The sequence below is a fragment of the Homo sapiens genome, chromosome 1 (assembly GCF_000001405.40).
Source record: "Homo sapiens chromosome 1, GRCh38.p14 Primary Assembly".
Classification (NCBI taxonomy): domain Eukaryota; kingdom Metazoa; phylum Chordata; class Mammalia; order Primates; family Hominidae; genus Homo; species Homo sapiens.
Genome location: NC_000001.11, coordinates 30,159,935 through 30,187,532, shown reverse-complemented (window position 1 = coordinate 30,187,532; position 27,598 = coordinate 30,159,935). Strand labels below are relative to the sequence as shown.

The 27,598-nt window shown below is 43.0% G+C and overlaps 1 long non-coding RNA gene across 3 annotated transcripts in view; it reads left to right on the top strand.

Moving 5' to 3' along the window:
• The window catches only part of LOC105378617 (uncharacterized), a 36,983-nt gene extending 12,423 nt beyond the window's left edge, over positions 1-24,560 (top strand). The window contains exons 2-3 of one of the 3 annotated variants that reach the window (XR_001737960.1): positions 322-394; positions 24,482-24,560. This is a non-coding gene — a long non-coding RNA (uncharacterized LOC105378617). Of the gene's footprint in view, positions 1-321; positions 395-2,304; positions 2,887-6,164; positions 8,651-24,481 lie in introns of those variants that run through there. The other 2 variants (XR_001737959.1, XR_947128.2) reach the window with 2 other exon arrangements.
• The last annotated feature ends 3,038 nt before the right edge of the window (positions 24,561-27,598 follow it).

Here is a 27,598-nt window from a genome sequence, read left to right as displayed (position 1 = left end):
TTATAGGGATTTCTGTGGCTGGGCTACTTATGTTTGTGTGCGTATATATGCATATGGGACTGGTGGTGGCTTATATTGTGCTGTGTCCTCTGTAAATTTGATCTCTGGGTTGAGTGACGGCAGCTGAGGATGCCATCACCATTCTGCTAACAGACATTTTCTGGGCAGTGTCGGAGACAGAGGTGGCAGCCTCCATTATCCCCTCTGCCCCAATCAGCTGCCTGACTGCCTAGGTGCTGGCTGCTGGCAGACTGCTCTTCTGCTCCTCTGCAGCTTCTGAGGTATAAAAATAGACACCCACCCCTCCCTGTCTCTCCGCAGGTGGGAAGAAAGCAAGGGCAGGACAATGCCCTCCAGGAGATGCCAATGTGGATGAATTTAGCCTGCAGTACAGGTACATCTATTTCTGGTGTGTAGAATGACCTAAGCTCCCCACTCATTCATGACTTCATGCAACTGACGTTTATTTTGTGCCTACTATACCCCAGACCCTCAAGATGTCTCTGTTCCTCAATCCACCCCATCCCTGCCTTTTGTCCTGATATCTGTCACCTGCAAAATAATTTCCACAAAACAACTACAACCACAAATTATAATTTCTTTGGGACCCCACATTGCCATGGAATGCTATGAAGCTTCCTCAGGGGCTTCAGTGCAGGGATAGGGGACAAAGAGGCTGCTGTGGTGTCCAGCAGGAGCTTGGCAAACTTGCAGCAACCAGTAGAAGCAGTGATCGCTGGCAGAGGGGGGTGTGTGCCTGTGTGTATGTTTCAGTACTGGTGGGTAGGAAAACCGGAAGTAAATGGTAGATTCTACTGGATAGCTCATTGGAAAGTTGACCAGTCCTGTCAGGAAGCATGTGAAATATTCTCCAGAGAAGCCGAGGATGCTTTGCTGGAGACTTCGATTTTTTCAGGCATACATAGATGGGACAAAAGCCAAGGAAACATGATGGATGGGTGGGTGGGTGAATGGATAGATGGATGGATGGATGGATGGATGTAACAGATGAATGAATGGATAGATGGGATGGGTGAGATGGATGGATGGTTGGGTAAATGGGTGAATAAATGGTTAGAGGGTTGGAGGAGAGAAAAATTGTGGAAATATGTGAGAAGAAAAATGGAAAAGGAATGGATGAATGGATGAATAAATAGGGGGTGGATGGATGGGGGGGTGAGTGGATATAGACTTAGATGAAGCAGGAGTGATAATTATCTTCAGATAATGGAAATATAGATATAAGGAGTTTGTAGCAATATTCTAATAGAGAGGGCAGCATCATGGAGAACAACCCTTGCTTTTTAATCATCATCACTCCTTTCCTGCAGTCATTCCACGCAGTGTTGACATCTGCTCTGTCCCAGCTTGTGGAACAAGCTGGAGCATTAAAGAGGAGCTCACTCTCTGGTGAGAAAAGCAGACAGACAGACAGTGAACCTGAGCCTCATGCTACATGCTGAGGCTGTGAAAGCAGCATGCTCAGAGCTCCCGGGGAAGTCTGGCGGGCGTGATGGAGCATGGGCCCGCCCCTTCTCTGAGCACTGCTCCTACACACCCTTTGTTGACGGTGTTGCCATTGCTTACTGGTTATGTGGTGCTCCCCCTTTGGCCACACTGGCTGGCCCAGGAGTGGACCTCTGGGCATCTCTACAGCTGCATTTCATTTTAGCCATACCAAAAGGGTATGTGTAGTGGGACTGTGGCCACCATTTTCAACCATATGCACAATGACATAGAAAATCTGTTGTGAGAAGCAGAGACAAGGCTCTATATGACCACAAGGGAGAGGGGAAGAAGGAGAGAGACACTGTCTCAATTCCTTTGGCTTCCCACGCTTGGTACCCATGAGGTCCACTTGTGTTCTGTTTCCATCAGAAGTAGCAGCAAACATTATTAAATACCTATGCATTGGAGCCGGCTCTTGACACCAAAGAACCTTGAGTAAGATGGCAGCAGTATGAAGGGGAGACTAATTCCACCAGAGAAGGGGAGGGTTTAAGTGGTCGGAGAAAGTCTTACGGGAGCTGTGACATTTGGGGATGGGTTTTGAAGCATGACTAAGAGTTCTGAGAAGAAAGATCAAGACATTTCAGCCAGAAAATACATGCATGGTGAGCACATTCCTTTGGTTTGAATATAGTTTGCATTGAAAGTTTAGATGATGGGGAGGAAGAATAAGAAAGTACCATTTGTTGAGCTCTTACCAGATGCCACAGATGGCACAAGGTGCTTTTCATATATCATCTCTTTTTATCCTCACAATTGCCCCCTAAGCCAGGTAATTTTTCCCCCATTTTACAGGCAAGGGAAGTGAGGCTCAAAGATGTTGGTCAAGGATGTAATAAAGGCATAATTTGAACCCAGATCTGCAGACCGAAGCCCGTGCCCACTCTACATAACCACAGCACTGTGTCCAGGCCAGGGCAGGCAGGCTGGGGCCAACTTCAAGAGGCTCAGCATTCCCCCTCTGTCAACTGCTCTGTAACTTGAGGACACATCCACCCTCTGCAGGAGAAGCCCAAGGCTGGTGGTCCTTCTCCAGGAAGCAGCAGATGCCAGGGTGCAGAGCTGAGTGTGCTGCTGAGATAGACTCTGCCTTGCTGGACTGATGGATGACCTTAAGTTGAGTTGTTCTGTTCAGAAACAAAGTGTGTTGCACAGGCCCCATCCAAACAGCCGAAGGCAGTAGCTAATTAGAAGGGAGAGATGGAGTGTCATTTTTTTCTGGCAGCAAGCCCAGTGGCAGAAGTTTTTAGCAAAGAGCCTCAGTGCAACTTGAGAGGTCTGCAGGCTGGAGATAAGGGTCATCTCTCCAGAGTGGCCAGAGGGACTCCCTGGAGGAAACAGAAAGAGGAAAGAGAGGAAAGATGGACTAAAGGAAAGAAGATGGAGGTGGGAGAAAGGGAAGAAGGAAAAGACAGGAGGAGAACTAGAGAAGAGAAAAGAGGGTGGGAGGAGGAGGAGAAGAAGTGATGGAAAAGAAGGAGTGAAGAAGGGGAAGAAGGTGGAAGGACAGGGAGAGGAGGAAGAGGGAAGAAGAGAGGAGAGAAGGAGATAGAGAAGGTGAAAATGAGGAAGGAGTGAAGAAGGGGAAGAAGGGGGAAGGACAGGGAGAGGAGGAAGAGGGAAGAAGAGAGGAGAGAAGGAGATAGAGAAGGTGAAAATGAGGAAGGAGAGAAAGGGGCCAGGAATAGCAGTGAGAGGACCAAGAGAAAATGATGGACATAGGAGGAGTAGGGGTGGGAGAAAAAGACTGTGGGAAAGAGGGAGGGGGAGGGGCTGCTACCACAGCCGGCATCCAAAGGTCCACCCCCACTGAACTCTCCCAATTGGGGATGCTCTCAGCATCTCTAAGATGAAATGCTGCACAGCCAGCAACCCAGGCAGCTGGGAGAGAAGGGGCCCCTGTGGTCTAACTGGCACCTGTTTAATGGCTCCCAGTGGCAACAGCATCAGCGCCCCCCACTCTGGTCATACTCAGGAAACAGCTCCGCCTGACTCAGGCAGGGTCAAGTCCACTGCAGCCCTCTCCTTCCACCCATGCCAGGACAGTCTGCGGGGGCAGAGCCAGAGTCCAAACCTACAGACACCAGTGGTGGAAAGGGTGCTTGGCTGGGCGTTAGAATATTTGAATTCTAAAACCGAGTCTGCCACAAATTTACTAAGGGTGACCTTAATCACTCTGGACCAGTTTTCTGTCCATTTACAGATGTTTCCTGACTTATAATGGTTCCATTTATGGTTTGTGATTTCATGATGTCACGATGATACACATTCAGTAAAACTCACACTTCAAGTACCCATATAACTATTTTGTCATTTATTTTTAGTACAGTATTCAATAAATTACATGAGATATTCAACACTTTATTATAATAAAATAGACTTTGTGTTAGTTGATTTTGTCCACCTGTAGGCTAACGAAAGCATTCTGGGCACGTTTAAGGCAGGTGAGGCTAAGCTATGACATTCGGTAGGTTAGGTGTATTAAATGCATTTTCAACTTAGAATATTTTCAATTTACAATGGGTTTTTGGGATGTAACCTCATTGTAATTTGAAGGGCATCTAGGTAGGCTTTTTTTCATTTAATTTCTCACAACTCTATTACTCTTATTGTTCACATTTTTCAGACGAGGACACTCAAACTCTCCAGAGATGAAGTGTCACCTCAAGGCCACACAGATAATCAACAGAGAAGCAGGCCCTACACTCAGCTGTACTGTGAGCTCCACAGCAGCAGGGATACTATTGTCCTGGTTCACCCCTGGGTCCCAAATCCCAGGACAGTGGGGGCACCAAGGAGATGCCCCCATAAACTGTGTGGACTGAATAAGTGGCCTCAGTCTGTCCAAGATCAAAATCTGTCCTGCCACTGTCATTCCCCCATTGCTTGCCTGAATCACCCTATGAATTAGCCAGGGTCGAGTCAGAAGACAGAAACCCCACCAGTAACCGGAACAGGGAAAATTTAGTGTAAAGAATGATTAACTTGCAAAAGATGGTTAACGACCAACAGGAGTCAAGGAGGACCCTCTGGAATACAGGAATAGCAAATGCACAAAACAGCTACTACCTCTATGCTGAGGGAGAGAGAACAAGGAAAGAAAGAACTAAGAACTCAGAGGAGGCCCCCATCACCACCACCAAGGCTGAGGTTTGTGTCCCATTGGAGAGGTTGTTGCTCCACAGGAACATGTAGCATGCCAGTGGCTTCAGAACGTGATGGAAGGTGCAGTTCAGAGGTGGTCAGTAGGACCAGCCAGCCAGTTGGATGAGACACTTACTAGAGGGTGTAGGACACCAGAGGTGGTTTATAGGAAGTGGTCCACTGGGGTGGCAGAAATATTGGGTGGACACCACTGATCATCTCACATACTGCTGACAGCCTTATAGAAGGTGGAGAGATAACAACATAACCAGGAAGAGGAGCCCCTTCCTTTGCTACAGCATAGCATTCCCCCTGCCCCAAGTGCCATATGTTGAGAAAGAATAATATTGTGCTGAAGGAGAAATGCTTACAGGGTCCAGCTCCAGTATCAATATACAAAGCAAAAAGGGAGAATTTGGAGCTGAGAGACAATATTTTGATCCCTGGCACAGCCCATCCCTTTGGCTACCTGACTTCCAAATGCGCCCTCTACATACTTCACCTTCCACACAAACACCTCAAGGCCACACAGATAACAACTCATGTTTCCAATTAAGACAATGCAGCTATCTTTTGTACAAGTGGAAAAATTCTCACTCTTTCACCAAAATGAAGAGACAGAGTCCTGGCCACTGTTGTTTCAATTGCTGACAATATTCATTACTCCTTAAATTCTGCACAGTACCTAAAGGCTAAATTGAGGTTCTCCTCCAACAGCTTGAATATAAAATAGTAAGAGAGAAAGGATATAGTTAATTGATACACATACATATGTACACATAACATGTGCAAAGAGAAAATATGCAAAGCTACAACCGTCCTCTTTGTAGAAACTGCTCGCAAGCACATAGATAGTATTTGTGACTTCCTTCTTCCACTACCCTTTCCATATTTTCTTTGCCCTCAACTAGAACCTCAGTTGGGCGGGTTCTTTATCTGACAGAGTAACCCAAGTGGTCATTCCTTAAGAGTTTGTGTCCTCACCAGGCTCAGTCACTTGCACCTGTAATCCCAGCACTTTGGGAGGCCGAAGCTGGCGGATCACTTGAAGCCAGGAGTTTGAGACCAGCCTTGCTAACATGGTCACACCTCGTCTCTACTAAAAGTACAAAAATTAGCCTGGTGTCATGGCATACAACTATAGTCCCAGCTACTCAGGAGGCTGAAGCAAAAGAATGGCTTGAACCCAGGAGGGGAAGGTTGCAGTGAGCCAAGATTGTACCACTGCACTTCAGCCTGGGTGACAGAGTGAGACTGTCTCAAAAAAAAAAAAAAAAAAAAAAAAAAAAAGAGTCTGTGTCCTTAATGGTCCTTTCTTGGATGCTGTAGTTTTCAGGAACCTTTATTCTGGGACACAGAGGAAATTAGAAGGGCCCCCAGAGAATCCCCTAAGTTCTAGGCAAAGCCTTCTTTCCCCCAAATTGTATAGCAACCAACAAATTTCCCTTTGGTAATTTGGCTCAATCACTGTAATCAGCACAGTAACCTCTTTTTCTTCTTGTTGATTTAAGGGCATCAGAAGCCCCAAATAGAGAAGCGGCAGTCTCGTTTCCAATGCAATGGAAAATGCGAGTGGGGAAGAGCAAGCCCTTAGGAGGCAGCCAGGTAGGCTGGGCCCACATATCTGGGGCTTTAGGCACATGTGGCTAATCTGTGCTAGACAGGCCCAACACTGCCTCAGACCAACCTGGGTTCAAATTATGGTTGTACCAAGGACTAACAATCTCCCCACTGAGACCCTTCTCTGTGTCAGGACAGTGTTGGGGGCTCTAACACAAGTCACTGCATTTAATCCTAAAACAATCCTGTAGGCAGATGCTATTGTTCTCGTGTGCAGATGGGAAAACTGATACTCAGCACAACAAGCCAACTCGCCCAGAACCACCCTCCATGAAGTGGCAGAGATGGGATTACGTTCTGGCTGTCTGACCTAGAAGTCAGAGGTGCTTTGACAATAGACCTGGGTGTAGCCATCTAACTGCTCTAAACTTTGCTTTCCCCATCTGTAAAATGGGAGTTCATTCAGCAGATATTTTTTGGAGCAGTCACAGAGCTATGAATAGGCACAGAGCTTTGGGCATTATAATCCCTGCTCCACATGGTTTGTGTGTGGATTAAATAAAATGAATTGATAACTTTACTATCCCTGTATCAGACACAAACTGTATTTACCTTCCCTTTTGCATTTTATAACATTTTTTCCTCTACGTCAGGATGTGCCATATTCTACATGAGAAGTTGCCAGTTTTTCCCCTTAGAGTAAAAGTAGTTTGAGATTTTCTGTGAAAGATGCTGGTTTGATGAGTGTATGAGACAATGTAGATTTTGTCTTCTGCTCTGATGGTTAGTAAGTTGGAATAGCGAGGGCATCTGAAACTCACTTTCTGGGGTCCATCTGCCCTCCCACACAGGATTTCCCACTTGGTTTAGCGGGGCCTGTTGAGCCTGCTCCGTCATGGATGCATTCGCAGAACAGTTCTGCAGTTGATGTGCTGATAATGTGGTTTTAACACATTTATAAACATTTGGCTATCTCCTACAGTCACTATCTTTTAGAGGAAAATAAATTGTCTTCCTGATCTGACAAGCTTGCTGCTGCCTGAGGCTGGAGTGTGTTGCGGCAGGGATGGACACTCCCAGGAGCTGGGAGAGGCTTGCCTTCACTTCCTAGGGCTGCGGTAACAAATTCACACAAACTGGGGGCTGCAAACAACAGGCATGCTTTGTCTCACAGTTCTGGAGGCTAACGTCTGAAATCGATGTGTGGGCAGGCTTGGTTCCCTCTGGTGGCTATGAGGTCTCGCTCACCTTCTGGGGGCTGCCTGCAATCCTTGGTGTCCCTTGGATTCAAGAGGCATCCTTCCCGTCTTTGCCCCACCCTCACAGCACCATCTTCTCTATGTGTGTCTTCTTTTCTGTCTCTTCTATGCACACTTATCATTTGATTTAGGGGCCCCTCTAAGCTCTAAGCCAGGAAAATCTCACCTTGAAATCTTCATTTTAATTATATCTGCAAAGACCCTTCTTCCAAATAAGATTGGATATTGAGGTTCTCTTTTGGGAAACCACTATTCAATCTAGGTACCCTGTGTTCCTGTTCGAGCTGGGTCAATACTTTGCTGCCTGGCCTTGAGCAAGTCACTTTGCCTTTCTGGGTCTCAGTTTCTCTTAGATCGTCTCCTACATTGCTTACAGGTAGAATGTGCCAATAGAGTGAGGGGTCCCAGGAAATGGTTCAGACCAAGCTTCCTTCATTCAACAGTGATGCTCCTGCTCTGTACTAGCCTCAGTGCTGTATCCCAGGGAGGCAGACGACCCCGAGCCTTGTACCTCCAGCCACTAAGAACAAAGTTTAGAGGGAAAGCAGACCTTGGAGTAGCTGATTACAACAGACTAGAATGGGTGCTTTGAAAGGTCAGCGCCTTGCTTCATTCACACCGTGAAAGTCCTGGCACCATTTGTAATTGATGAATCATTTTAAATGGACATATTTTGCAGCCAGGGAGAGCTGTGAGAGGACACAACCTGAGTGTTTGTTGGAGCACAGAGGAAAGGCAACTGGCCTTGTCTTGGAGGATCCAGATGGGTTCCTAGCAGAGATAGGGTCCAAACAGAGGCCTGAAGGACAAGTGAGTGTGAGATGAGGGAGGGGACAGGGTGCTGCTCCAGGTACAACCATAGCACGTGCATGGGGCAGAGGTGAGAGAGAGCCTGTTCCCCGCCAGGATGGATAAGTGGCTTATAATGACAGTATAACTGCCCAAGGTCACACACCTCTTAAGAGGTAGAGCTAAGACTTGACTCCAAGAAGTCAGATTCTAGAGCCAAAGTATGATAACATGTTGAGGAAATGTGGTGTCATCCATCGGAAACCATTTAATAAATTCTATTCAGATTGGCTTAAATGCTCATATCAACTATATACTAATTAACTGAAATTTATTTTAGTGCATTTAATTGAAGTAATTTTTGAGTTGATTTAAAAATTATTGGTAAAATAAAAATAGAAATGTCTTAAAAAGTATCAGCATATGGCCAGGTGCAGTGGCTCATGCCTGTAATCCCAGCACTTTGGGAGGCCAAGGCAGCTGGATCACGAGGTCAGGAGTTCGAGACCAGCCTGGCCAAGGTGGTGAAACCCCGTCTCTACTAAAAATACAAAAATTAGCTGGGTGTGGTGCCAGGCACCTGTAATCCCAGCTACTTGGGAGGCTGAGGCAGGAGAATCGCTTGAACCCGGGAGGTGGAGGTTGCAGTGAGCTGAAATCACTCCATTGCACTCTAGCCTGGGTGACAGAGCAAGACTCCATCTCAAGAAAAAAAAAAAAAAATTGTCAGCATACATTTTTGCCTGGATTTAGAGGTCAGACCGTTTTATCTTTGTCTCTAAGGTGTTTCCAAGGCTTTAAGATGTCAGGGTTTGATCCAAAGGTTATAAAACTACAAACTCAGCCTAAAATAGAATAATCTTTCTTTGTGCAATTCTTTGAAGAGTAACATTAATGTAATATTATTAGTTTAATGAAAACAGCTGTAGCTTCTAAATTATCAGCAAGATATTTATATATTTAATTTTAAGAGTCCTACTTAGGTAACACCTGTTAGTCACAGGATGTAAAAATGGTTACCAGGGAAATAGCTTGAAATGATGACTGTCTTTGTCTAATATCTCAGTTTTAATAAATACTCCAAGTGTAACTGTTAAAAATAAATAAATTATGTAAATGTAAATGGGATGTTTATAAATGAAATTTTTGTGTAATTAAAAACCTTAAAGTTACTTTATTTTAAATTAAAGAATAAATATTCATTAAGTGTCTGGGTCATTTCCAAATAAGAAAAGAACTGAAATAAAATGCTGAGCATAAATATGTCTTTGTTTTGGCTTCACAAATTGTATAACAAAAGTAAATACATTTGGGTCTATTAATGTACATTACAATTATGTTACAGGAAAACATTTTTTAAAGAATAAAGTGGTTATTGTTACAGACAATTCAAAACCTTTAGCTTTGTAGGTTTTCACTGAAAATTAAGGTTACTATGAGTTACATTTCTGAATCATGTATGTAATTCTGTATACAAAATGTATCAAAAGATGTTTTTAATTTGAAAATTATAAAAATGCATTAAAATGTGTTCTTTATTTTGAAAAAACAATAATTTTGTCTAATTCAAGGGTTATTTAGTTTGTTTCAAAATATGGATTTTAGGAATTAAATGGAAACAAGAATAGAAAGGAACCAGTAAGTAGGAGGGAGAGGTAAAGAAAGTTATGCATATGAAGATGTATTTTTGGTCAGGAGGGTCAAAAAGAAAAGAGAATAATTTTGTATAAGAAAGAATATTGTGTGGTAAATTCTTTTCCTAAAGTAAAATGACTGGTTATTTTAAAAAGGGGATGTATAGGACAAAGCAGAAAGTTTAAGCATGTAATCAATTGTCTGTGTAAGTTATAATAAGGTTCATGAAGGATGAATTTACAAGAGGAATTTAGCGTATAATCAGGTTGGCAATAATTAGAGGGAAATTATTTATGAGCCTTTCTAAAGATTGAGCTTTGATATTAAAAATATGCCAATACAAACCTAAAAATTTGACTCCCTGTATTAGAACAACAAGGTTTTCTTGAAATATTTGTCTGCTTTTAACAAAAATTGCAAGAGGTTTTACATTTTTAATTCTGAAATCTATTCCTTTAACACTCAACTTCCAAATTGTGGCTTTCTTCTATTTTAGTTTCCATATAATTTCTCTAGTTTTAGGTTACAAATGCTGTCTTTTCTTTCAAAATAGTAATTTCATTTCTTGAGATAAAGTTTTTCTTTTAAGTCTACTGAGATTCATATCTCAGAAGCTCAACTTTTGCTCTATCTCATAGCCCCTGATTTGTAGGTCACGAATCATTACCATCAGCTCTTTCTCCCTTAAGACGGTTTAGGGTGATAACTTTCTCCAACTTTTTAATCAGCTACTGTAACTTTTTTCTCTGGTTCCAACTTTGCTGTTATGACTTGACCCTGAAACTTTGTGTCTTGAAACACCTAGAAAAGCAATGTTTTCCTCTGATATAACTTGATTCTGTACTCTTGGTTTTTTTTTAATATGTCTGAATTTTTCCATGTAACCAGGAAACTTCACATGCTCTTACCTTTACTAAGAGCCATGTATTCCCCTGCTTGGGTGAGTAGTTTTCTTGTTTACATTCCTTTATAGTACTGTGTACACTTATAACCTTGGGCACACATTCTTCATGTGTCTGATTAAATTCAAGTACTTAAAAAAAAATCAGATTCAACATCCAGGATATTTAAATGGGCTTTCCATAAGGAGAAACGATCACACTGGAAGAGGTCTTTTTAAACTCTTTTAAATAACTTGCCCCTAAGATAAAAGGAATTTGTGTTTTATCAATATATAACTGAGGTTTGAAAGTGTTAAGGTTTTTTAAGTCTATGCAACTTCCTGAATAGATTCTAAAGCTTTTTGATTAACACTCTGGTTTAATGAATGATTATTATTTCACAGTGACTTGTGATCCTATTTTTATCAAGTGTTTTGTATCTTTTGACACCTTTGGTAGGCTTCCCCAAGATCAAAATTCTAAATTAAGATTTTTTGACCTAGAATTAACTTTTGGATTTTCTAGCTGGCCTCCTAAAGTGCCTCAAAGAATGCCTCTCTTATCTTTTAGAGGTATTGAATTTTTAGGATTATTTGGTAAATTGTATGGGAAACTTGTCAAATAAGTGACTCTAGATCTTCTTTCAGTTACATTTATGGGTGTGTTTTTGATATGAATGTTCCAAAATTGTTTAAAACTCTTAGAAATATATCATTGGTTATAATTCTGGGTATTATGTTGTATGCCACAAAAGTAACTACATTTCTTTGTCAATTGCTGACTGTAATGAGCTTTCATCATAACTTAATCATGGGCATCCTAAGTTTTTGTCATCCATAGTTATTGTTTTGATTTTTCTTGAAAAGTACTTGCAATCAGCTATTATCCAAAATTGCTTTTCGTGGAAAAGCCTCTAGCAAGTACTCTTAAATATAGTTTTTTGATAACTTTAAGATTAATGGACTAAATAAGATTTTTTCAAAACTCTAATGAAGTAACTTATGGGTTCATGAAATGACTAATCAAGATCAAGCTGAGCAAAAGTTAATTACAAGAGATTAAGCAACCGATAAATATGTTTTTATGACTTTTATTTAAAACATTGTTCGTTATTTACTTAAATGTTTTATTTTCCACTTTTATGAAAATTTTCTCTCTGAAACGACAATTTACAACAACTTGGTAAAAAGCATACTTTTGTGAACAAAAATGAAAGCATTTGCTTTTTCTATCTACTTGAGTTCATCAAAATTTGGAAACTATTGATGAGTATTCTTATAGCAATATGTTTTTCCCATAAGTCTAAAAAAACTCTCTTTTTATAACAATATACAATTGGAAACATTTGCTTTATTATTTTAAGGCTTTGACTGGAATATCACATTTGGGAATATGTGTAGAATACCTGGCTTCAGGCTGGGCGCGGCGGCTCACGCCTGTAATCCCAGCACTTTGGGAGGCCAAGCCAGGACGGGCGGATCACGAGGTCAGGAGATCGAGACCATCCTGGCTGACATGGTGAAACTCCATCTCTACTAAAAATACAAAAAATTAGCTGGGCGTCGTGGCGGGTGCCTGTAGTCCCAGCTGCTTGGGAGACTGAGGCAGGAGAATGGCGTGAACCCAGGAGGCGGAGCTTGCAGTGAGCCGAGATCACGCCACTGCGCTCCAGCCTGGGCGATAGAGCGACGGGGCTCCGTCTCAAAAAAAAAAAAAAAAAAAAAATACCTGGCTTCAAGGGTTCCTAGTCTTATAGTGAGTGTAAAAACTTGTCACTTCCTGGCAGATCCAAAAACCTAAAGACTTTTCCCTTTAAAAATATTTGTCTTCCTTTACCTCCCTGAATACATAAACTGTTTACTATGGCAAATATATTTCAATTGCAATGCCCTATTCCTGAGTAAATATTATTTTCTTTTAGAGATCCTCTGTCTATTTGCTATTTAAGTTGACATTTTCTACATCTCCTTCCATTGTCTCCTCTGGCCCTCCTGCCTCCCTCTTGTAAGGCATCTTGTGATTACATTGAGCCTTCTCAGATAATCCAGAATAATCTCCTATCTCAAGAACCTTGACTTAGTCACATCTGCAAAGTTCCTTTTGCCACGTAAGATAACATATTGAGAAGTTCCAGGGAGTAGGATGTGAGCCTCTTTGGGAGGCCATTATTGAATCTATCATACGAGGCACAAAGATGGTTAAGATGTATGTCTCAAGATTTGGACCTAAAATTAGGATACAGAATGCTTGGTCTTAATCATTGTCCCCCATTTCTTCCCTCCTCATCTACAGGAAAATTCTGATCTGCCTGATGAACCACAGCCTCATTTCAGACTCAGACAGTAGATCCAAGTGTTAGGGTCTTCCAGAGCACCTAGCCAGTGGGGCAGGGCTGACAAATGTTGCAACAACTATTGTATTTGAAGTGCATGATCTTGCCAAGCTGGGATGTTCCTGACTTAGAGAACTGGCTGATGAGGTGCCACTCCTCCTGTGTGACAGGTTGGAGAGTTGACACCCCACCATGCCAGGAGACACTTCCCAGAGCCACAGGGACCAGCTAGATATCAGAAGCACCAAAAGGATTCTCCATAGATCCAGCCTCCATTGGGAGTGGCCCTAAGAACAGGAAAGAATAGGAAAAATATTCCAAGCCTGTACTCAGGAGGCTCCAGAGCACTGGATGCTCATGCTGCCCTTGGCAGTTCACACATGCCTTGGGAGAATCCTCAAAACCTCCCTGAGACGTAGGTGAGATGGCGATGTTGCTTTCCCCTTGAAGATGTGGCTGTAGCAGGAACATGCACTGTACCCCAGCCTCTGCAGGACTCGTTAAGAGCCTCCAATGTATGCAGCAGGATTTATTTTGTAACTTTGGAAGGGGGTGGGGCAGGGAGCTTTCTGAGCCAGCTCAGGAGCACAGGCCAAAGGGAGAGAAAGGAGGAGAATAAACACCAGGCAGGTGTCAAATGGTGAGTGCAACGCCCCAGCCCAGGTGACATCCTTACCCAGCAGCCCATGGCAGGGCCTGGGCCTCTCTCCTCCCTATGAACTGAGAGTCTGGCCTAAGGCCTGGCACCAGGCAGGAATCTGTAATGGTTGAAGAATGAATGAATGAATAAGAGAGGGAAAGCACCAGGATGGTTTGGAGAACAGACTCTGGAACTAGGTCTTGGTTTGAATCTTCACTCTATCAGTTATTAGCTGTGACCTTGAGCCAGTTACTCAGTCTCCTCCTCTGAACCTCAGTTTTCTCATCTGTAAAATGAGAATGAGAATAATAGCCTTTATCTCACTGGGCTATTTCGAGACTTACAGGAACCCATGTGTGAAAGTGCTTAGAACCGGGCCTAGTGTATCACGTGCATTCAGTAAATGCTAGTTATTATTAGAACAAGAACTATTTCTAGATTTTTGCAACCTTAAATACTATAGCAACTGATAAATTGCAGCAGAAAGGATGTCCTTCCTTGTGTCTAACCTAAAGTCTTCATGCTGCAGCTTCATCACTGTGCCTCTTCCTTACCAGCTATGCTTTTCAAACTCAGGCCTGCCAGGAGGGCAGTTTTAGAACCAACTGTGTCTGCAGCACAGATCACATTAAAAGGCCCAATCAATCAATCTGTCTGCAGCCCTGAAGTGACTCCTGCCTCAAATCAATGATGTTTACAAAGTTGGGTAGGAAGGCTATGATGCTTTTTTATTTCCTTCTCCCACGTCCTTTCTGGGATAATCAACCATGTCTCCTGCAAATAAATGCCTGTCTGTGCCCACTTCTGCGGCCCTGGAAGGGTGGTGGGCTTTTCTCTCAGGGTGGACCTTCATGACTTGTAGCCAGCTCTATAACTGGAGTGAGCCCCAGGAGGGGCCTTTCACACACAAGATGTCACCCACTCCCTGCAGCAAGGGGGTTTGAGTCACTTACTCAAGAATGCACAGCCAGGAAGCAGCAGTGTCTCAATTTGAGCACAGAACTAACTGATGACACACAGCAGCTAACATTAAGTGAGGACCTCTCCTGTTTTAAATACCTGTATTCACTAATGCTGAATGGTCATTTTATACTGACAAAGCTGAGGCACAGAGAGATAGAACACCTTACCCCATCCCCCAGTGGTAGAAGGATTTGCCAGCATTCAAACTCAAGCACCTGGGCTCCCGAATCCCTGCTCGAAACCCCCAGGCTTCCACTGCTTGGCAAGAGTCCATGCTCAGCCTGCTGGCCCACACCATCCCATCCACTTTCCTCTGATCTAGAATTGCCTTTCGGGAGCCTGTGCTTGTCTCCAGTGACTGGGGTGCTCACCAGTACCTGGAGAGCAGTGGGTGCTTCACAAAGGGCAACTGGCAATAACAGTGATGACACAGGCCTGGCAAGTGAGCTACCAGTTAAGGATGTACAAAGAGTCCGGGATGCCTCTGACTCCCTACCTCCGCCAAAAATTAATTCTGCCTTTAAAGAGCTCCATTCCCCCAGAGGAAGAACCACTTCATTAGAGAGGCCCTTCTCCATGAAGACGGAACAAGCAGGCCAATAAAACTCACTGGGTTTTGGCATCACTTTGGAAATCAATGCACTATGATTGCGAATCCGGCGTCTGTCGGCAGCTGCCTAATTTTAGCTGGATCTTTGCAAGCGTCTAGCCCTGTTCATCTGCCCCCATGGACAAGCAGAGAGGTTCCAAGAAGCATCATCGATCTTTCAACTAAAGTGTCCTAATGAAATACAAATCTGTTGTCACTTAAAGAGCCATCTGTCATGGTGGCACAGAAGAAATGCTACCAGGAGGACAATAACCATAATTTCATTTTAAGATCCAGCCTTCTTCCCCTTTCCCTTCCAGAGAAAAATCGACATTTTTTACTGTTTCATTTTGTCACAGAGCAATAGGAGGAAAAGCCATCAATAGGGTGTTAAAGCTATTTCCAATTATGTGCAAGTTCCCTGTTACAAGGGCTCTTGGCTTCTTGCAGTGAGTTAACACCTATTTGCATGAGGTAGAGTTAGCAGGAGGATGATTTAGTGTTGCTGTCCCTGGCATGCAGCACTGCTTACATGGCTAAGGAGACAGAATGAGTGCAGGGTTCCCAGAGGGCAGGGGTCCTAGGAAATGGAAGCACCAGCCTTAAATAGCATCAGACCATTCCTGGGTGGGGTGGTCAGAACTAGCACACAGAGCCCAGGCAGCGGAGATTACCAGGAAAGAGGAAGGAGGGAAACTGGAGGGGGGAGGGTGGGTGGCATGTATTCTCCAGGCAGGGCAGGGTCAACAGCCTCCAAGGGTCCAATCGCCTCATCTTTCAAGTAGGCCTTTGAGACACAGAGAGAAACAATTAACTTCAATGACCCCCAGCTAGTCACTAGCAAAAAGAGAGAAGCTGAAGCTCCCTCTCATCTGCTCCTTACTGGGAGCTGTTTCTCTGGACATAAAATGTTGGGGAAATACAACAGGTTTCCCCAGACTGCATTTTATACGCCCAAGAGTCTGGACTCACGTTGGAAGCCACTTTAGGTATGTGTTTTTCAAAGTCAGTTTTATTGACATAATGTAGATGTAATAAAATGTAGCAACTTTAAGTGTATAATTTGATGAGTTTTGACATATGTATATAGGTTTTTAACCACCTCCACAATCACAATGTGAACATTTCCATTAACCCCCAAATATTTGCTTGTTTCTTTTCAGTAATGACTTCCACAAGCCATAGCCTTTGCCACCTATTCTGCCCTCTGCCATTATGGTTTTGCCTCTTCTAAAATTTCATATAAATGAAATCATACAGTATTCAGTCTTTTGTATCTGCTTTTTTTAAAAAAAAATTCAAGACAATGTCTTTGAGATTCACCCATGATGTTGTGCATATCAGTTGTTTATACATCTTATTACTGAGTAGTATTCCATTGTATGGATTTACCTTGTTTTGTTTATTCACCAGTTGATGGGCACTTTTGCCAGTTTTTGGCTATGATGAATGAAGGGGCTACAATTGCTCACATACAAGTCTTTATGTGGACATGTGTATTCTTTTCTTTTAGTAAATACCTTGCAGTGGAATGGATAGATGCATGTTTGACTTTAAGAAATTGCCAAATGATTTCTAAAGATTCTGTTCCATTTTGCATTTATACCACAATGTATAAGAATTACAGTCAACATTTGTTATTGTCAGGTATTAATTTTAGCCATTCTAGTGGGTATATGGCACTATCTCACTGTGGCTATCATTTACATTTCCCTGATGATTAATGATGTTAGATATCTTCTGAATACTTATTTGTCATTATATATTTTCCTTGGTGAATTATTAATTCAAATCTTCTACCACTTATTTTGTTGTTCACTTACTAATGCTCTTTACATATCCAGATGCAAGTAATTTATTAGGTCTATGCTTTGCAAATAAACTGCCACTTGCCTTTTCACTTTCTTTAAATGTTTCTTTTGAATAGCACACGTTTTTAATTTAAAAACCTTTTCTACATACCAAATAGAACCTTTATTACCTTAAAAAATTGGCCTGCTTATATCAATACATTTTAAGAATTGTAAATGTGCAGAGAGCTCTAAGTAGAGCCTTTGGGTTTGACTTTCACTCTTCAGGATCAGTTTGGCTTTTCATAGGCTTCACTAGCCCTGGAATGTGGCAGCAGCTCCCATCTCAGGGGCAGCAGCGTGGCCTGGGAGATTGTCTCCTCTCCATCGTGGGTGGCCTCAGGTGACTTAGGCCAACCCCATCCAAGGTGCCCATGTCTCAACCTCCCAGCTTCTGTAACAACACATTGGAAAGGCTGTTTTCCCTTTGGTGGTTTAACTTTTACTTGAAACCTCCTTTCCACACCTATGGACTTTATTAGAAGTGTAAAAATCCTAAATTAATTGGCGGGTCCAAGAATGGCTTGGTCAGTATGACCTGGGAATGGCCTGAGCACTGGCACTGTCTATGCCCCTTCCGGCCAGCAGACCGGCCAAGGACAGGAGCAGACCATAGGTGGGGCTGGTCCTTCTGTGATAAACCCTAGAGGAGGAAATCCACTCCAGCTTATGCCAAAGAACAAGTATAAAGAGCACAGAGAATGCCACTCTACGTCAAGTTACACCATTTGTGGTTCTGAACTGAAGGTGACCCATCCAGTAGAATAAACCTCCTAGATATGCAAAAGTCCTCAAGGCCTATGGTCACAATTTAGAAGAAAAACTGTCTTTCTGCAAGTGTAAGCACAGAACTCACAGCTAGGGGCCTACAGTGTTGGGCACACCCTCTCCCACTGAGATGCAAAGCTCTTCTCAGTGGAACAAACGGTGCCCTAGATAAGGACCTTTCCTGGGATGCTAGTAGCAAATGTGTGCACCAGCATCTCAGCATGCAATGCTGTGCGTCTGTTGTGCCAGAGACCGTCTTGCACTGGGTGTGCTCCATGGAGATCTCTGTGTCTCAAACCACATCTTCCAAGAAGACCCAGGTGATACCCGGAAGGTCTTCATGCAGAGCCTTCAGGTAGGACCAGCCTTCCCCAGCCCACTGGTGTGAACAGGAGTGAGCACAGCCAGGCGCTGAAGCAGCAGAGGACCATCTACATTTTTTTTTTATTTTGATGAAGTCTAGTGTATCATTTTTTTCTTTTAACAATTCATACTTTCCGTGCTTTTTTGCCTAAATCGAAGTCACAAAATTTTTCTCCATGTTTTCTTCTAAAAGTTTTAGTTTTAGCACTTAACTTTAAATTTACTATTTATTTCAAGTTAAATTTCTAAGAGGTGTGAGATCGAGGTTGAGAATGGTTGTGTGTTTTCCCCACTTCTCAGTAGTTTGCTGAGAAGACAGACAATCCTTTCCCCATGGAATTAACTTTCCATTTTTGTAGAAAATCAACTTATATTTGTGGACCTTTTTTCCTATTCTCTATTCTGTTCCATTGTTCTATATGTCTGTCCTTATACCAATTCCACACTCTTTTGATTATGATGGCTTTATAATTTACTTGAAAGCAGCTAATACAAATCAACTCTTCTACTTTTTCAAACAGTTTTGGATATTCCAGATCCATTGTGTTTCCACATATATTTTGCAATCAGCTTGTCCATTTCAACAAAAAGTCAGGTGAGATTTTGTCTGTGATCATGTTATACCCATAGATCACTTTTCAGAGAATTTACATGTTCACAACATTGAGTCTTCAGTTCTGACATATCTCAATCCTCTTTAATTTTTGTCAGCAATTTGTTTTTTAGTTTTCACATATTTTGTGAAATTTATCTCTAGATAGATTTTATGATAGATAGATATAATATATATTATGATTTTAATGCATTTATTAATGGTTTTTTGACAATCTTAGACTTTTCAGTTGAATTTTTGGATCATTTCATGTAAGATGATAGTAGATAAGGTTAAATTTAAATATATTGTATTGCTATTTGTTTCTGTTTGTTCTTTTTGTTCATTGCACCTTTATCCCACTTGTCCTGCCTTCTCCTGAATTAATCAAATTTTTAATAAGTTCATTTTAATCTCCACTATTGGTTTATTGGTAATATCTCTTTTTTTTACTTATTTGTATTCTTACCAGTTGCTCAAGCATTTAGAATATACATCTTTAATCTGTCAGTATACCTGCAAATAATGTAATACTAGTATGAGAGCTTTATAACAGTAAATTTTCACTTCCTCCATCCTTTGTGCTATGATTTCTTACATTTTATTTTTAGATATATTACAAACCCCACAATACATCGTTGTTGTTAGTACTTTATTTAAGCAGTCAATTATCTTAAAGGGTAAAATATGAGAGACACAAAAAATCATCTTTATTGTTCTAGCTTCTATCATTTCTTTATGTAGATCCTAATTTCTATTTTTATAATTTTCCTTGTACCGAAAAGACTTTCATTGACGTTTTTTTGAGAGGCTGTTCTGCTGATGCTGAATTCTTTCATCTATTTCTGAAGTTGTCTTCATTTCTTGCATGTTTAAGTGACATTTCCACTGGGTATAGAATTCTATGCTCCTATCTTAAATCTCTTCTTTTGCTGCTTTAAAGATGTTGCTCCATTGTTTTATGCCTTGTATGGTTTCTAACATGACATCTTCCATCTTCTTATCTTTGTTTCCTTGTCCATTATATCTCTCTTTCTTTTTCTGGCTCCTTTTGAGATTTTTCTCTTTATTGCTGGCTTTCTGAATTTGACTGTGATGTGCTTTAGTGTGATTTACTTTATATTTCTTTTGCTTTGGTTTTGTTAAGATTTTGGATGTTCAGGCTTATAATTCTTTTCAAATTTAGAAAAACTGTGGCCATTATTTCATAAAATAGTTTTTCTGCCCCCATTCTTCTCCCATATCCTCTCCTCTGGAGCTTCAGTTGTTAAGTATGTTAGGACATTGGATATTGTTCCATGGGTTACTGATGTTTTCTTCATTCTTCAGGTGTTTCCCTCCTTTGCTCTATTTTGGATAGTTTCTTTTGCTATGTATTCAATTTCACTGACCTTTTCTGTTGCAGAACAGAATCTGCATGTTAATCCCATCACGTGTAATTTTTTTCAATTCAGAAATTGTATTTTTCTGCTATGGATATTCCATTTGGGTTATTAAAACTCAGCCTGTTAATTTTCTTTTGTCTTCTTAAACATCAGTGTATTTATAATAGCTATTTTATTATTCTTAGTAGTTCCAACATAGCCACCATTTTCAGTTTCCTTTATATTAATATGTTTTTCCTTCTGATCATAGATCCTACTTTCTTGCTTCTTTCCACCTAGTGATTTTTTATTAGATGCTGGACGTTGTGATTTTATGTTGCTGGTTATTAATTTTGTTCTATTTCTTTAAATAGTGCTGGATTTTGTGCTGGGAAGCAGTTGTTTTGAGTCAGTTGGATAATTTTGAAGCTTTCTTTTAAGTTTATTAGAGAAGACATAGAGCAGAGTTTATTTAGGGTTAATTAATGCCCACTTCTAATCCAGTAGCCTTCTGAGGAGTCTACCTGATACCCTGTTTGCCATGAAGTCTTTCCACTGTTCCCGGTGGGAACAAAAGCCACCCCCTAGGCCCCAACCTTGTGTGAGCTTTGAGAATACCTCTGTATCCCCTATTCTGGTGTTTTTGTTTCCCCTGGCCTCAGATACTTTTTTCACATATGTGTAAATCATTACTTAGACGGATTCTTGAGGGGACCCCTCTCAAGTCTTTGGAGGTCCCTTTCTGTGCAGCACCCTCTTCAATATTCTGTCTTTCAAATTCTAGCCACCTTGGCCTTCTCAAACTCTGTTCTCTTTCTCCTCAGATCATCAAAGCTACCAGGCTCTGTTGCAGTTTTCCCTCCTTTCTTTGCAGTCTGGAAGCCACTTCCGGAGAGCGATCTGCGACAGCTGAAGGGCATGGCTCACTTGCTGTCTTTCTCTCTCTGCTTACATGCCTGTGTGGCCAGCTGTTGAATGTCCGACACAGTTGTTTAATGTGTTTCGTCCACTTTTCTGGTTACTTGAGGTAGGAGAGTAAACTCCATTCCTGTTAGTTCATCATGGCCAGAAGCAAAAATATAATTGATGCAGTTTTCTAATTTTTTAATGCACCTTTGAATACTATTATCATTAAGAGTCAAACACTTTTTTTTTCCAAATTGATTCTGACATGGAACCCCCACCAAATCTAAAGCTGATAGCAGTGGAACTTCTTAGAGCGAAAGAGAGACTGAGGCTGTCTGTCTCTGCTCTCTCCTCACAGGGCCACCTCTGACCCCTGAGGTCCCTCAAGGGAGGCATATCAGTGAAAACCTCTGGCTTCCAGGATAACTTTTGTCCTCCTTAGCATGATATTCAAGGGCCTTCATTGCATGTTCCTGCCAACTCCCTCACCTTATCTCCTGCCCCTCTCCTCCCCTCTTCTCACCCCATACTTGATGCTCCATCCCCATGGAGACTTTTACAATGCTCATACTGTTCCTCCTCTCCAGACTGACTCTACACCCCCAGGCTCCCAGCCTCTGCTTTTCCACCAAGCCAGGGCTTAGAGTCGAGTCTAACATGGGGGCAGGCTGTGAAGTCAGCACATACCACTAAGACTGGCAAAGAGCCTTGGGCAAAATTGTCTGCACTCCTTATATCACGATATTTTTCTTTTTTTAAATTTTATTTTGCCGAACAGAATACAGTTGGAGTCACAGAAATATCCTTCGTGTACACTGGTTGCTAAACTCTTTAGTGTCTGATTCGAGGATCATATTTGCAGCTCCTAACTGCAAATCTGACACATAGTAGTTTGTCAATAAATATCTGTAGGATAAATGAAGGGAAGGGAAAAGGAGTTCAGGAGGAAGTCATGATATGAGCAAAGGAAAGCAGGGGAGAATAAACGTGGCTGCATTAGGGAGTGGCTGGAACAAAGCACAGAGCAGATTTGAGACAATTTGAGAGACGATGGGCACAGCATTCAGTCGGCATTCACTCTGACCTGTGCACATCCAGACTCTGACTCTGTCACTTTCTGTGTGACTTTGGGCAAGTGGCTTAGACTCTCTGGGCCTTTGTTTTTCATAAAATAAGGACCTTAATGTCTGCCTCACAGGGTTCTTGTGGTGTTGATATAAGGCAATTGGATTGATTGAACGATTGAGCATTAGACTGAACAATATGAAATTGTTGGGTTTTGATCATCTTTGATCTCTAAATGGTATAGAAGCCTAAAGCCCAGGCCACAGATCCCAGGAGGCTGGTGTCCCCTAGCAGCCCTGACCGGCCCTTCCAGGGATGAACTGTGCATTTGAATAGTTAAGAGTCATGGCTGCTCTGCTTGGAAGCCAACACATTTCCTGTCCCCGATTTAACCTTCCCCTGCTGACCCACTCAGAGCCTGGTGTCATTTCAGGTGGCACCAAAGAGCCTGTGGCCTGGGAAGCCCAGAGGATTTCCAAGGTGTTGGCACAAGGCAGCTGCCACTAGTGTGGCAGAGCTAGGCTTGAAGGGCTTCTATTTTCTTTATTTTTCCAGACGATGGAAGCCTTTCAACTGACCACTCGCCTTGGACCAGGTTAATGTGGGAACTGGGAGCAGACAGGCAAAACCAGGAGGGAGAAGGAAGAGGAGGCGATGGATTCCAAGTGGATCTGGTTGCTCTCATTCATTCCAGGCGACTGTTAAATGGGACAGAATGACCCTCAAATCCCCTTTCTCTCCATTCAGTGCTTCTAGGGATCTACTTGACATTTCAGGGGAAAAAACCTGTAAAAGCGAATAACACATGATACTCTCTAGAAACTGATGGCACATGATACCCTCTGTAGAAACTGTAGGACGGAGAAATCTCAGTGACCTTGTGTTCTATGTGTCCTCAGATCTCCAAAATAAAATCAGATGAGGTGAGAAGGCAAGTCTGACACCAGCCCTCCTGTACTATAATGTGCTCCAGGAGCCCCCCTACAGGGGGCTTGGCCCTCATGTTCTCCTCACACCTGCTTCCCACCCCCATGGCAGCCTTGACTGCTTTTCCTTACCAGCCCCTGCAGCCCTCCTGTCCCCTTGGACTGCCTGCAAAACATGCCTCTTCAGGCGAACAAATGCACCTCCACCCTCCCCTTTATTCTCAGTGGTGTTTCAAACTTCATCAGGCAGAAAGGGGTGAGTTCTGGTACTGAGCCACAGCCTCTGGAGTTAAACAAGGGCTTTGTACTTGTGCTGTAGGACTGCTCGGCCAGGTCCCTGTCTGCTGAGGGACCCCACGACACCATGAGGCACAGGCTACAGACTCAGCTAGAGAAGAGTCTTCAGCCCGACCCAGACAGAGATGAGCTGCTTGGGGTCTTGAGACCCTCTGACTGAGCAGAAAGCATTTTATTTACTTAGAGAATGGCTCACGTAGTTCTGCAGACTGAGAAGTCTCACAGTCAGTCATCTGCAAGCTGGAGAACCAGGAGAGCCTGTAGTGTAATTCAGTCTGAGTTGAAAGGCCTGAGAAACAGGGGGGCTGATGGCATAAGTCCAGAAGTCCAAAGGCCCAAGAACCAGGAGCACCAAAATCCGAGAGCAGGAGAAGACGGATGTCCTGGTTCCAGCAGATAGAATGAATTTGCCCTTCCTCTGATGGGCTGTGCTATTCAGGTCTTTGATGGACTGATTAGATGACACCTTGTCTACGTTGATGAGGGCAGATCTTCTTTTTTCGGTCTACGGATTCAAATGCTAATCTTGTCCAGAAACACCCTCACAGGCTCACCCAGACATAATATTTTACCAGCTATGTGGGCATCCCTTAGCCCAATCAAGTTGATACCAATAATTAACCAGCACAAGAACAGTCCATGGAACACGTGCTATTCAGTTTAATGAAGTGATGTCCTGGGAACCATGCCCGTGCCCATAGGAGCATTTCTTGGAGGGGGACTTATCAAACCAAACCCTCCAGGTGAAGTACCCACCTGCTCCACCACGTGTCTGAGTGACTGCAGGCAAAAGATTTCATCTCTCTGATCACACGAGGAAACATATTAAGGATAACAGGAGATACGGTTCTCACCATCAGAGGAAAGAGTGACAAACATGAGGAAGGGAGAAAACTGGGAGCAATCCCAATTACAGAGCTCAATTTCCTCCTTTGGAAAACGGGGATGGTGACAGCATCCATCTCCTAGGGCCGTTGGGTCAACACGTAGAAACACTTGATCATGTATTTGCTGCTTCTTGACCTTCACCTTCCTCTCATACCACGTAGGCCCTCACCCGGTTTCTATCATCACTGAAGTCTCCTCCAGGCCAATGAGTTTCTGAATTTATGAATATGAATACGACAGACGCTCTTCACAATCTTGCTGACACTTTCACATGGTTCAGTGAAACGCTGTTCACAGATGCAGGAAAGTTAAACTTCAGGCCTGATTCATGGTGAATGGTGAGTGACTGGGTTCTGCTAATCTTCCCACATCTATTTGCTCATTTAATAATAATGTAATTATCATAAGTCACCATAGGCACTGTGCTAAGGGTTGGAGATAACCAACATTCATTCATTCATTCATTCATTCACTTATTCCTCCAAATAAACAGTTAGTAAATGCCTCCCACACACAGGGTACAAATGACCCCAGAGGGGTAGGGGGCAGCCACACAGGTGATGTGGCATGGTACACGGGAGACTGAGAAGGCTGCAATAGATTGATTTCAAACAGGGAGATAATGAGAGCCAGGGTTCTCTTCATGTGTCCTAAGATCAAAATAAAGTCAGATGAGGTGAGAAGGAGAAAGAAGTTAAAAACATAGAAAACTAGAGTCAACCCTGTTTACAAAATTCTGCAGTGCAGAACCAGAGGGCGTAGAGCAGTGAAAATGCTTCAAATAACGGATTTTGTAGCAGAGGCAACTTTGCTAAAAATAAGAGACAAACTGGGAAGCACTGCCTTGACCCGCCCACAGGCGCTGAGCCTCGGAAGGATGCTGCCCACCGGCAGCTCTCTCTGGGGCAGCCCTGGGGCCCTGACTAGCCCTCTGTGGTTTGACTTCCCAGTTTCCTGACCACGAGCTCTCACAAGCCAGGCGACTCCACTCCTGCTCAGGAGGGGCTGCTCAGGAGGGGCTCCATGCCTCACCTGGGCTCATCACGTCTCTCCAGGAAACCCTTCAGCACCAGCCTTGGTCTCCTGGGATCCCTCTTGGTGCAGCTTCCCTGGAGAGCAGGGAATGAAGAATGTGTATTAGGATGTGCTCCTGGGGTCCACACCTGTGGAAGGCAGGGAAGGAAGCAGGCCTGGGCAGGCCAGATGGAGACCACTGATCCCACAGGGAGCCACAGAGCAAACAGGCTGCTGGAGAGGCCTGCCTGGGGCCTGACCAACTGGCACGCATACCCCACCTCTGTCAGTCAATCGTAGCACGGGGTACTCTGGGAGGGTGTGGCAGTGGTAGAAGTGCTGTTTGCCACTGGGGCAGCCCCTAAAGTGGAGACAGTTAAAGGCTGTGTGGTGACAGTCAACCCTGTCCACTGGGGCAGCGAGTTCCTTCCTGGACCGAGCGTCCGGGTGGCACATCACAGTATCCCTGAGAGATGCTGCGGCCAGTGGCTAAGAGGCTCTGCCCTCACGCAGACCTGGTTTTCAGCTCCTGTTCCCTGTGTCTGCTCCAGGCCTCAGTCCCCTTATCCATAAAGCAGGATGAATGCAGGACTCTCTCAGCTACAAATGGGATGACATGGATTCCAGAAGGTTTTGTACACCATAGCGTGTGGCTGTGTAGACGGTAGAGTGGCGGGCACAGTGTGGCCTTGCAGAGCGGAGTGCATGGGCAGCCACGGGGAGAGCGGCCAGGAGCTGGCGCCGAGACCCCTCAGACCTGATACATCTATGACTGTGTCACTGAATTCTTACAAACCCTCCACAAGGCGAGTTTTATTATTTCTGCTTTTAACAATATTTTCCACTATTTATTTCATTTTTTTAACAAATGAATATTTTTAAAATAAAGTAAATTACAGAGAATGATAGAGAATAGAGAGGTGCTATAATGTAACAAGTCATTAAGAGCCTTGACTCAGGGGCTAGGCAGCCTGGGCTGGAATCTAGCACCCTATTGTAGAAGCTGTGCGATCTTGGGCATGTTACTTAACCTCTCTGTGCATTACGTTCATCATCTGTAAACGGAATAATTATAGCACCTGCCTGAGAGCTGTTAATACAGATAAATCCCCTGGCATAGGGAAACCTATGAGTAGTTGTTTTTAATTATCATTACTACTGCAAACACAAATACCCACCAAGGAGATTTAATAAAATGTATTTATTCAATTCAGATTCTTCACTTCTTTTCCCTTATCTTGAAATAACTTGTAATTCTGAAATAACTGTAGATTCACAGGAAGTTGAAAAATAGCACAGAGAGGTCTCATGTAACCTATACCCAGCTTTCACCAAGGCTGATCTCTCACATAACGATGATATGATATCAAAATCAGGGGTCCAACCAACCCTGGCATGATTGTATTAACTAGACTACGGACCTTATTCAGGTTACAGCAGTTTTTTATATGCACTCATTTGTGTTTCTCTGTGTGTGTATGTGTGTGTGTGTGTTGTATGTGAAGTTCTCACAGTTTATCACTTGTATAAATTCATAAATTTACCATCACAATCAACATAGAAAACATCCATTGCCTTAAAGGAACTTTGAGCACCATGCTGAGTTGTTCACATACAGTGATACGTTCACTCCTTACCACAACCTAGGTGTTGTTATCCCGTTTTCAGGTGAGAAAACTGAGGAACAAAGAGGTCAAGGTAACCTGTACAAGATCACACGCTGGAAAGCAACAGTGCTGGCCTTGAACCTGCGTCTGTCATCAGTATTCTATCCGGATGCATCGCTTTTTGTCTCATCATTGTGTGCAGGAGGTTCACACAGGTTGATACCTGTGGACTTAATTCATGAATGTTAACCACTCTGTAGTTTTCCCTTTTATAATTTTTTTTTTTTTTGAGACAGGGTCTTGCTCTGTCGCCCAGGCTGGAGTGCATTGGTAAGATCTTGGCTTACTGCAACCTCTGCCTGCCAGGTTCAAGCGATTCTCTTGCCTCAGCCTCCCAAGTAGCTGGGACTACAGGCACGCACCACTACACTTGGCTAATTTTTGTATTTTTAGTAGAGATGGGGTTTCACTATGTTAGCCAGGCTGGTCTTGAACTCTTGACCTCAAGTGATCTGCCCACTTTGGCCTCCTAAATTGCTGGGATTACAGGCATGAGCGCCCATGCCCAGCCCCTTTTATAATTATACAGCTTATATAACCATGTATTGAAGATGTTACATTTTCTCTACTGCACACAATGCAAGTACCAGCCCGTCT